Genomic DNA, 13032 nt, shown 5'->3' on the forward strand with positions numbered 1-13032 from the left:
TCTCGTGTTTCATTGTAACATGAGGAGGTTGCGGCTCAGAGAGGTTTGGTAAGTAGCCCAAAGTCACACAGCAAGTAGGTGGAAAAGCCAAAAGGCAAACCCAGTTCTACCTGTGTCCAAGTTTATGTGTTTCTTGGGAGCTCTTTTTGTCCTTTTTTTCACTTCTCCAGATCGTACTCCTCCTTGCAGCAGAGGCTTAGCAGAGGGAATAAAGTGAGGCCAGGAGGCAAAGTGTCCCATCCTGCCCATGCTGCCTGTAGCCACTGCCTGGCAAGGACCATATTTCTTCTCCCACTCACATGGCCCTGGGGGTGGTACCGAAACCAGGAAGGGGTGGCCAATATCTCTTCTTTGGCCTTCTTGGTCCTTCTGCTTTATGTCTGTATTTTTGATATCTTTGATATGTATTTTCTAAAAAGCAGGAAAATAATAATGGAATTTGACTTGCACTGTGCTATATACTCTACATGTCATATGGCTCCAGTGAGATTTAAGTTCAACAGTAAATAACAGGAAATTCTCTCAAAATGGATTTTTGTAAAGGTTAGTTCATTCCTCTCTTAAAAGAAATCCACAGGTCAGCAGTGTAAGGGCTGTATGATGGCTTCATGAAGCTTCAGAGAGGCCCTGCCTCCTTTCTTCTTAGTCTTCTACCATCTTTATTCTGCTGCCTCTTGGACCAAGATGGCTGCTTGAGCTCCAGCTATCACTTCTGTTCTCCAACCAGCAGGAAAAGGAAGCAGGTCAAACACCATTGCTTTCTCAATTTAAGGGCCTTCCCTAGAAGCTGATCACAGCATTTCCATTTATAAGTCACTGGCCAGAATGTAGTTAAACAGAACAACTAGCTGCAAGAATACTTAGAAATATAGTCTTTATTTCAGGCTGCCATGTGCCCAGGTCAAAATCCATTACTAGAAAAGAAAGAGAGAATACATATTTAGGTAGACATGGAGCAGTTCCTGCCACAAATCTATTAACTTATTTGATCTTTATTATCATACAATCCTATGAGTTGGATACAAGTATCCTCACTTTATAGATAAGGAAATTGAGTCTCAGAGAGGTTAACTTATCGAAGGTCACACAAGCTGTTAATGGAGGAGCTGGGACTGAAGTGTGTTTATCTGGCTCTAAAGATGTTCGGTCCTCACCCCTACACCTTAGACACAGAGTGCAAGTATTGAATTGATATTCATGGGTTTTTTATTGGGTGCAGGGGGAGTGTTTTTATTTTTCCTAACTAAGATGTAGACATACCCTTTATACCTTAATTCAACTGAGAAAGTGTTAACATTTTCCAAAATAAGTGTGACTAGGAAACCAAGGAGAAACAGAAACCACAATGTAATGAAATGGCGGGGCTTAGAGAGCACAGATTTAGTGTCCTGAAATCATGAAGGCCCGGCCAAGGCTGTAGAGGATGCGCAGGCTCACCTTAAAGGGCACACAGGCCTCGGTGCCTCTCCTGGCCTTCATCCAGTTGTTCTTAAACTTGCCCAGGGTGAGGAGTATTCATCAACAGATGGTTCCACTAGCTCAGCTTTTGTGATGTTTGGCTTTGATCTAGGCTAGTACCTGGGCCTCCTCTCCCTGCCATCTCATGCCAGCCAGTGGGTCCACCCTGGAGCTGGCTCACTGCATGCTGCAGCCTCTATCTGATGTCCTAAGTGAACCAGCACCAGTCCAGCATCCAGGCCTATAGAAAACCTCCATCATGAAGCTAATTAGCATAGCATAGGCGAAAGACACACCCCAGCCTGAGGAATGTCAAAGCCTTTTCTCTTCTCAGGTTACAGAAGACTTCTTATTTCCCCAGATGCTTTCTGCAGATAATTCTGGCACTTCCTCTCCAGCCAGGAGAATAATGAACCAAAGAAATCAGTCTTAGTCCATATAGTACAGTGGTCTCTGCAGAAGGCCGGCTCTCTTATAACCAGACACATTTTTGTTTCTGAGTGATTTTCTCTCTCCCACCCTCTCTCCCTCTTTTTCTCCATCCTGGCCTTCCTCTTTTCCTTCCTTCCTTCCTTCCTTCCTTCCTTCCTTCCTTTTCCTCCCTCCTTCTTTTTCCTCCCTCTTCTTCCTTCCTCCCTCCTCCCATTCCTTTCACCCTCTTGGTTTCTCTTTTCTTCTCTCTCTTGCTTTCTTGCAGGGTGCATGTGTCTCTGTGTGTGTGTGTGTGTGTGTGTGTGTGTGTGTGTGTGTGTGTGTGTTTCTATACTTGATCTTAGCCAAAAGGCTGAGAACCCATGTGTGTATTTCTGTAAGAGAGCAGACACAGTGCCTGCACCCAGCCAGTAATGGGATTCAGTGTTTTAAATGATACCCAGCAAAAAAGTCTTCACCTGAACTAGAAAAAGAGAGTGCATTCGGAAAAGCCTTCTCGGAAGACGTGGCATGGGGACACCAAAACAAATAAGCATGGAGACAAGAACTTTTGAAAACAGAATGATTTGTTCTCAGGCTCTTCTATCAAACCACCAGTCTTTTTGCCTGTGTCTAGGAGCCACCACCCTTCTGCAAGGAAATGAACAGCTACTTTGAAGCTAACAAAGCCACCTGAAGACGATCATGAGCTCCGGTTCTCTTGAAACTGCCTCCCTGGTTAGTTGCATGATTCAGGGTTTGTTTGCCAAAGAAATGAATGATTTAGGATCTTGTGCAGCTGTTTTTCTCTTTATAGAAGTTTCAGGTTTTTGTGCAAAGGAAATGCTCTAGAATGAACTGAGTTCCTCCACATCCCCATTCAGACCTTTCAGACTGGAAAAGTCTTGGCTTGGACCGTACACCTTCCAGCCTCAGACACAAATGCCTTTATCAGGCCCAACCCCACATAACCCTAAATGTGCAACAAGGAGGCACTGCTGACTTCCTCCTCCTCTTCCTCCTTCTCCTGTGTACACAGCCGTTATCCAGCTTGAGTGTCTGTCTGTCTGTCTGTTGTACTTGAAAGAATAGATGCTTTGTTCTCACACTTCGAGTTAGAACAACTTTTATCCACACTGACTTGTGAAGGCCCAGGATGCTCCTGTGGGACCTTGTTCATTTTCAGGATTTACATTACAATCCTGAATTCAGCACTCAGAAGAGATGTCACTGTCTCAGAGTAGGCAAAATCCTTTCTCTTTATGAAATGTTCCATAAAAAAAAAAAAAAAAAACAAAACCAGTGTCTGCTTTATAGCTGGAAAGAGTCACAAGTATATCATGCACCTGCCAGATTTCACTTCTTTTTGGAAAAGATAGTGCATTCCCACATATTATCATGCAGTCTCCCAGAAGGTTTGCCAGGCAGGAAGCAGAATGAATGACACAGATTTTCTTTTCTTATCACGCAGGTAAACTCGTTGCTCCTCATTTTAAAATAATGGCTTAAAAAAGATTTTTAAACCATAACTTATAGGAAAAAACCTGACCACTATGGAGGGTTTCATGTTAGATCAGTAAAAGTTAATGACTCCGGTGTGCCACAATGTTCTTAAGCACTTTTTCTATTCAACAGATCCTTATTAAGCATATATTGTATAAATAAATTTATGATATGCCCTGCTGGGAATGATAGACACATAAGAACTAGGCCTGGGCCTTAGAAGATAGCAATCTGGTAATTATAAATGGTTACTATTCACTGAGCAGGTCATGTGTGCCAAGCACTTCAGCTACCGTCACAACAGCTGGAAAACCCATCTTTATTCCCAGCAAATTAAGACTCAAATAAATTAGGTAGCTTTCAAAGTCAAAGACCTAGCAGATCATAAGAGTCAGAATTCACATCTGGGTGTGGATGACTCCAAAGCTCATTCTGTTTTCCACTACTCTATGCCACCTCTCCATTTAGCCAGGGATGTTTATCAGTCAGGGTCTTATCGGGAGACAGAAACCAGACCCCTTATTTTAAGCTGCTCACTAGGTAACTGAAAGAGTATAAAGAGAGCTCTTAAGGTGTCAAGAAGATAACAACTGCAGGAAGCAGCTACTACCCCTAAGGCTGAGGAAGTAAAAAGGGAGAAGCTGCAATGATGAAAACTTAGAATGTAGAGGGTGGGCCCTATGGAGCTGGAGCTTGGGCCTCTGAAGAGTGGATGCCGCTTGCTAGTGCTGATGTCTCTGAGCTCAAAGGAGTCTGAGGCTCAGACTCTGAGAAGCCTGGTGTCCACATTTTGGAGGGCAGTGCAACCAAGCTGGTTCTGAAGTGTTTGGGAGAACTGTCACCTGGATTCTTCCACTGCAATGGGAAGGAACTGCCACTGCCAGAGTGAAGAAGCGGTGTTGGGTGACACTCACAGGACTAGGACGCGGACAGGAAAGAGTAAGTCTCTGCTTCCTTCTTCAGCCTCACAGCCTACCTGTAGCCATTCTGTTGGCAGCGCCCGACATAGTTTCAGCTAGCAAAGCAGAAAGATGGTTTGCATCATAAAACAGAGTCGAGAAGGTAGACTTCGAACTGAATGACAGCTACTTGCTAACTAGCCCAGGAGGCAAGATCAAAGAAAACATCATCGTAGGTATTGCATGATCATGTCTCTGATGACTCTATGGATTATAAATACTCTGGAATTGAGAAACTAGTTAATGGTTGTATGTAAGGCTCTTGCTACTGAACTTGGATATTCTTGGGGGCAGGGACTATGTTCTTTTCATGCCTCTGTCTCCAAAACCTTCCTGGTAGTAGAAAGATGCTCAGCAGGGGCCAGTTAAAGAAAGGAATAACTCTAATGCTATAAGCTGTTATAAGGCTGTATGTGTTTTGCTGCTGGAGTTTTGAGATCCAGTTCTGAACCCTAGGGGCTCTTCTATTCCTGACTCAGAAGTGTGGAGGATTAAAGGGACTGGTTACTCTTAGTGAGAGCAGACTAAAGTGGTCCTTACTAAGGGATGGCAGCGTTAGAGTCTGTCCCAAGGGAGGCTCTTCCAGCCCTGGCTGGAAGTGTTCAGGATTGCTTCTCTATGGTGCTGTTTGTCTATTGCATGATGTTTGGTCCTGCCTTCAATACCAGAACCACCTTCTTCCTCTCTGGCTCCTGTCCCTCCCTTGTGTCTCACTATTGTTAGGCCTTGGAACATGTGTGTTTGCCTGGAGTTGTGGACGCAAACACTCCCATAATCACAGCACATACTTAGAGATCTGGAATAGAGAAAGAGGCAAGAGTCTGGGCCCTTAAGCTCCTGGTAATTACCATGGGTGATGCATGGATTCCTAGAAGCCCAGCATATCAGCTCTGTTAGAGCACTGGAAAGGGACTTAGAAGTCTACTGATTCAGCACCCTCATTTTACAGGTACAGAAACCGTAACTCAAAGGTAAAGAGTTACAGTTTGGGAATCACCTCTCTCAAACTCTACAGCTAGTAAGCCAGTCCAGAGTATTTTGCACAGTGTCCCATGGGTCCCTGCCCCTCTTTGCTGCACTTTTTTTTTTTTTTAAATGGAGTCTCACTCTGTAGCCCAGGCTGGAGTGCAATGGCATGATCTCGGCTCACTGCAACCTCTGCCTCCTGGGTACAAGTGATTCTCCTGCCTCAGCCTCTCAAGAAGCTGGGATTACAGGCATGTGCCACCATACCCGGCTAATGTTTGTATTTTTATTAGAGACAGGGTTTTGCCATGTTCGCCAGGCTGGTCTTGAACTCCTGACCTCAGGTGATCCGCCCGCTTTGGCCTCCCAAAGTGCTAGGATTACAGGTGTGAGCTACCGTGCCTGGCCTGCTGCACATTTTTGAATTGAATACAAACATTTCAGTAGAACATACTTGATGTGAGGCACAGAACTTTTGCATATTGTTAGAATCCTGAGTTGAATTAAATTAAATATTTTATTTGGAAAACACTGGGGCATTCTGGATTAGTTTCACCTTAAAGGTTTTATGTAGTATAGTATAATAACATTTTGTTCTAAATATGATTGCTAAATGATGCATTCATATAAATATATAAACATGGATTCATAAAAAAGAAATAAACATATATAAACATATATAATCTAAAGCCCTTGGAACCAGAGTTTTCTAGTTCATATTTCCAACTATAGGGAAATATTAAAGATAAAGTGGCTTACTAAAGGCTTTTCTATTCAACATGGATCAGCAACAAATTGATACTTGGTGGTATTTCCACCGGTAGCCAGTTTGTTCCACTGTTTCATTCCATCCATTTAAATCAGTAATCCTTACAGCCACACTGCTCCTGGCACTGAGACAAGCAGAAGCGACCAGCAAAGAGGAGGGGAAGGTCATCTTAAGTCTCTCAAGGCCCTGAGAGCAGCTGGTCAGCATCATAACCTCCCCGCTCCTTCCCCCCTGTTACTCAGGTCCCTCCCCAGAACTCTCCTGACCTGGCCAAATTTAACTTTGAGTTAACCTTGCCATTGCAAGCACAGCGCCTTCTGTCCAGATAAACCACACACAGTTTATGGAAAAGTCATGGAAAGGCAAGACTGAATGAGGAAATTTCTGTTTTTCTGGAAGGTTTTCTTGAGCCCTTTGCGAGAATTCATTTCCACTCTCCCTAGATGGGTATGATGGCGGGATAATGGACGCAGGAAACTTATCAAACATCATATATCAAAATCTATGCTTTATTCTATTGTTTGGATGCCTCATGAACTTCTCTTCATTATTTTCATCATCACTCTTCCTTTAAAAAAAAAACTATTATGAAGAACTCTGACATGAACATCTGTGAATCTACCCTTTTCTTTATTAGGAAAGGTTCCCAGAAGTGAGACTTCTGAATCAACACATGTAAAGATTTCTAAGTCCCTCTCTCAATATTGCAAAATTTCTTTCCCAGAAGCGGGTTCTGTTATCACAGTTCCTCTTGTAGTGTATAAAAGTGTCAGTTTCACACATGCTTGCAGACCTGGACTATTTTCTTTTTTTATTTTAAAGAACTGATTTGATGTTAAAAGAAAAAGCATATGATTGTTATTTTTCTTTATGTATGTGTTCGATCATTAATAAGGTTGAACATTTTAATTAAATATATGTTAGTCACAAGAGCAGAGACTATTTTGCTTATTGCTTGATCCCTAATGGTGCCTGATGCATAGGAGACACCCAATATTTTCTAAAATGAAATTTTAAATTATGGCCTTTCCTCATTTTTCCATTGGGAAATAATGTTTTTAATGACAAGATATTTGAAAATAATAGGATTCTATGCTGGCAAGACTAAGAGGAGTTTATTAATCCGATTATGATAAGTAGCATACAAATTAAGCTTTCACATGAGTGAATTGGTTTACCTTCCTAATTTGGGGAGATTGATATAGTCTCAAGCACAAAATTGTGAAAAGAAGTCACTAAAATGAGTTTTTATTCTGGCTTGACCAAGAATTAACCATGTGATTTTGCATAAGTTCCGTATGTTTTCAGTGCCTCATCCACAAGGCAGAGTAATATAAAACAAAAGTCAATGGATTTGTCCTCTTTTATTTTACAAAACCACCTGGATGATATAAAGGAATAATTCAAGATAATAACTAAAGATAAAACATTTGAAATGCAAAATGTCATATGCAAATACAAGTGCAAAGTATTAGTATTTCGCTCGCAGAGTTCCTGTTACAGGGCTCATTTTCTTTAACTTGGTATCTGGTATGTAATAAGTGTACGATACGTTACTTCCAAAGTTCTTGCTTTTACTCTGTGATTCTGAAATGCCCCATAGATTGAAAAATAAAGTGGTTATGAAAAGTAATTGCTGCTTCTATATTTGAATTAAAATTTGCTTACAAAGAATTAATTCAGAATAAAGCTTTCCTTCCGACTTTCCTCCCAAAGAAAGCTTTAATATGATACACAGAACTGTTCATAATATTTAGTAGGAAAATAACCACTAAAATGAAAGAGGATAATCCAGGTAGTGAAATCCTGATTTGCTCAATGTTTATTAGTGTACGTAGCTAATTTGAAACAATCCAAATTCTCAACTATAGAAATGGAAAAGCACATTACATTTATCTTAACGTGATAGAATGCTACTTAGGCAATGATGGAAAATATATAGTCTATGTCATTATATGGAAATGTGCATAGAAAGTACTGGCATGCAAGAAATAGAACACAAAACAATGCACACACCCAGATTACAGCCATATGAAAACATACGAATACATATTTTTAAAGATGGGAAAAGAATGAGGAAAACAAGATATGTGTGCTTATTAAGTCCTCACTTTCCCCAAATAAAATTGCCCAGCTCTGTCACTTTTTTAAAGTCAAAAAATTCCCATGAGTTTCATGCATAGCTTGACAGTCTTATACTATAACATGATGGCTTCAAAATGTGCATTGTTTCATAAATAAGCCAAAAGACTCTCTCCACAAAAGACACATCATCTGTTCGGGCTTGTCCATTGCTTGACTTTTCCTTGACTAAATAATGATTAATAGGTTATATAAACAATGTGCCAGGTACCTGTATTTGTTTTTGGATGGAGAAATTATTTATAGTTGTGTAAAGACAGTATGGCTGTCTGCTATTTCTATGGGATTGTCTTCATCTCAAAAAGAAATAAAGAAGTTTTGTAAGAAGAAGAGAAAGTGTTTTTTAAAAAATCTGTGCAATTATCTCTGGAGTTGGCTTATGTAAAGTAAAAGAAGAGATAATATCTTCACAGGTAGCCTGAAAAAAGAGGAAAATAAGAGACTGAAAATGTAAGATGAATTTCTGAACTTTGTGGGAGGAACCTTCACATAAACCACAAAGAGTTGGCTTTTGACTAAGTTCCCAAAAGAAAAAGTCAGTTTCCTGTTTGCTTGGGGTTATATTTTAAAGTCTTTTTTGGTCTTGGTTGGATAGTTGTTGAGAACATATGGAAAAAGTCTTGGCAATACCCCCGTCATCCCCAAAGAATTGCAAAGAACTATGCAAAAATGAAAATGGTGGAGAAATCATTTCAATCAACAAAGACTGCATTCCATTTGATACCAAAACTTTCTCTGGAGGTAATTTACAACCACAGTACTGGTAAAATAATGGATGCCGAGTAGCATTTTACAAAGTTTAGGACAGGAAGTAAAGACTCCTGAGATAATGCAACTGGAGAAAGTGTGCACGTGTGTGCACACGTGTGCACACACAGGCATGCAAACACATACACCATGCAAACACACACACACTTCTATGGTTTGAATATTTGTCCCCTTCAAAACTCATTTTGAAATTTAATCTGCAGGCCAGGCACGGTGGCTCACGCCTGTAATCCCAGCACTTTGGGAGGCCAAGGCAGATGGATCACGAGGTCAGGAGAGCGAGACCACCTGGCAAACACAGGGAAACCCCGTCTCTACTAAAAATGCAAAAACAAAATTACCTGGGTGTGGTGGAGGGCGCCTGTAGTCCCAGCCACCTGGGAGGCTGAGGCAGGAGAATAGCGTGAACCCGAGAGGCGGAGCTTGCAGTGAGCTGAGATTGCACCACTGCACTCCAGCCTGGGCGACAGAGCAAGACTTTGTCTCAAAAAAAAAAAAAAAAAAAAAAAGAAAGAAAGAAATTTAATTTGCAATGTAGCACTATTGAGAGGTGAGGTCTTTAAGAAGTGGTTGAGTCATGAGGGCAGAGCCTTCATGAATGGATTAATTCATCCATGGATTCATGGGTTCATAGATTATCATGGGAGTGGGATTGGTGGCTTTATAAACAGAGGAAGAGAGACCTAAGAAGGCACACTCAGCCCCCTCCCCATGTGCTGTCCTGCATTGACTTGGGACTCTGCAGAGAGTCCCCACCAGCAAGAAGGCCCTCAACAGATGCAGCCTCTTGACCTTGGACTTCTCAGCTTCCATAACAATAAGAAAGAAGTTATTTTTCCTTGTTAATTACCCGGTTTCAGGTATTCTATAGTAAGCCACAGAAAACAGACTAAGATACACACAAATATGCCAAACTCTGTTATCTAAGATTAAATGTGACCAGGTAGTAATAGTGGTAGTGATGATAGAAATAACAGCCAAAATTTTTTTGAACACACTGAGTCAATAATTGCATAATACTTTAAATGTATTATCGTATTTAATCCTAACAACATTAGATGCTTGGAAAAATAAGGTAAATTGTTTAAAATCCCCAGCTGGTAGGCACTATATCCAGAATTTTTTTTGAGACAGGGTCTCACTCTATCACCCAGGCTGGACTGCAGTGATGTGATCTCAGCTCACTGCAACCTCCACTTCCTGGGCTCAAGCTATCCTTCTGCCTCAGCCCCCCAAGTAGCTGGCATTATAGGTGTGAACCACCACGCCTGGCTAATTTTTGTATTTTTTGTAGAGATGGGGTTTCACCATGTTGCCCAGTCTGGTCTCAAACTCCTGAGCTCAAGCCATCCACTCACTTCAAATATCTTGGATTTAAACACAATTTTGTCCGATTTCCAGAGGCTGAGCACTTAATTACTAAGATATACTACCTAACCTTGATGCTATGATAGACTTTGGTCAACCTGAATTTTTTTTTTAATCACATAACTCATGTGTTCATGCATCATTATCTATGGATTAGTAAATGAATACATGCTGTGAAATAATGAAATCGTTGTATGATTTTACATACAACAAATGTCTCATGATATGACCATCTAGTAGAGAGTTTTGGGAAGCAATCCATGTCAGTCCATGTCAGGATTTAGTCCTCAAGTAAGCTAAAGCTCTCTGAATTATGCATTATCTTTATCTTCACAGTTTCCTATGATTGATAAAACTATAGATAAATTGATCAAGAATAAAAGAGCAAGGACACATATTGTGAATATCAGGAGCTAAAAAGGGAATACCAGTAGAGAGCCTATGGACATGAAAAGAATGAAAGGAATATTTCAGAGAAAATTTTGCAATATATTTGACAATGTAGAACAAAAACATTTTTTTGGAAATACAGCTTTCCCAAACTGACACATGATATAATAGAAAAATCTGAATAGCTTTATGTCAATTAAAAAAATTAAATTTTTATCTAAAATCTTTACAACAAGAAAACTCCAGGTCCAGATGTTTTGCTGGTGAATTCTATCAAATATTTAAGGAAGAAATAACACCAATTTTAAATAAACTCTTTTCAAAAACTTGTTTTATGAGACAAGCATACCCTAATATCAAAACCTGATTTAAAAAACATGAGAAACAGGCTGGGTGGGGTGGCTCATGCCTGTGTCCCTACACGTTGGGAGGCCAAGGTGGGAAGATCACTTGAGCCCAGGAGTTTGGGACCAGCCCGAGCAACATGATAAAATCCCATCTCTACAAAAAAGTACAAAAATTAGCTGAGTGTGGTAGCATGCATCTGTAGTCCCAGCCACTTGGGGCGGCTGAGGTGGGAGGATTGCTTGAGCCCCAGGAGGTCTAGGCTACAGTAAGCTATGATCACACCACTTCACTTCACTCCAGACTGGGCAACAAAGCAAGACCCTGTCTCCAAAAAAAAAAAAAAAACCCAGACAACAACAACAAAAACAAAACAAACAAAACTTCCAAAAACCCCATGAGAAACAAAATTAAATTACTGACAAATATCCTTTGTAAACATTCTTAACACCATATTGACAAAGTTAATTCCATAACGTATAAAAAAGAATAATACATTAAGACCAAGTTGGGTTTGTCCTAGGAATGCAAGGTTGGTTTACCTTTTTAAAATCAATTTAATTCACCATATTAACAAAGTAAAGGAGAAAAGTCATCAATAGATGCAGAAAAATCATTTAACAAAAGTCACACCAATTTATGTTAAAAAAACAAAACAAAACAAAAAACCTCTCAGAAAATAAGTAATAGATAAACAGATAAAGCCATCTACAAAACAACCTACAAGTAGTTTCATGCCTACTAAAATCTTCCCCACTAAGATCAGCAAAAATGCAAGATATTTTTTTTGAGCCTTGCTCTGTCGCCCAGGCTGGGGTGTGTGGGTGCATGGCATGATGCAGCCTCGGCTCACTGAAGCCTCTGTCTCCCAGCTTCAAGCAATTCTCATGCCTCAGCCTCCCAATTAGCTGGGATTATAGACGTGTGATATTGGAGGAACCAGCCCCCAGTATTTCAATGTAGGCTCTTTTCTGTTTTCCCTAAGTGTCAGCCAGTCTGAGAAATAAAGAGAAAGAGTACAAAGAGAGGAATTTTACAGCTGGGCCTCTGGGGATGACATCACATATTGGTAGGACCATGATGATGACCCCGAGCCGCAAAACCAGCAAGTTTTTATTAGGGATTTTAAAAGGGGAGGGGGTGTACGAACAGGGAGTAGGTCACAAGGATCACATGCTTCAAAGGGCAATAAAGATCACAAGGCAAAGGCAAAATTAGAATTACTGATGAGGGTCTATGTCCCACTGTGCACATATTGTCTTGATAAACATCTTAACAGGAAACAGGGTTTGAGAGCAGAGAACTGGTCTGACTAGAATTTACCAGGCTGGAATTTCCCAATCCTAGTAAGCCTGAGGGTACTGCAGGACACCAGGGCATATTTCAGTCCTCATCTCAACCTCATAAGACAGACACTCCCAGAGTGGCCATTTATAGACCTCCCCCCAGGAATGCATTCCTTCCCCAGGGTATCAATTATTAATATTCCTTGCTGGCAAAAGAATTCAGTGATATCTCTCCTACTCACAAGTCCATTTAGAGGCTCTCTGCAAGAAGAAAAATATGACTCTATTCTTCCCGACCCCACAGGCAGTCAGACCTTATGGTTATCTTCCCTTGTTCCCTCAAAATCGCTGTTATTCTGTTCTTTTCAAGGTGCACTAATCTCATATTGTTCAAACACACATGTTTTACAATCAATTTATACAATAGTGGTCCTGAGGTGATGTACATTCTCAGCTTACAAAGATAACATGATTAAGAGGTTAAAGTAAAGACAGACATAAGAAATTATAAGAGTATTATTAGGGAAGTGATAAATGTCTATAAAATCTTCACGATTTATGTTCAGAGACTGCAGTAAAGACAGGTGTAAGAAATTATAAAAGTATTAATTTTGGGAACTGATAAATGTCCATGAAATCTTCACAATTTATGTTCTTCTGCCTCAGC

Source organism: Homo sapiens, chromosome 4 (assembly GCF_000001405.40).
Source record: "Homo sapiens chromosome 4, GRCh38.p14 Primary Assembly".
Taxonomy (NCBI): domain Eukaryota; kingdom Metazoa; phylum Chordata; class Mammalia; order Primates; family Hominidae; genus Homo; species Homo sapiens.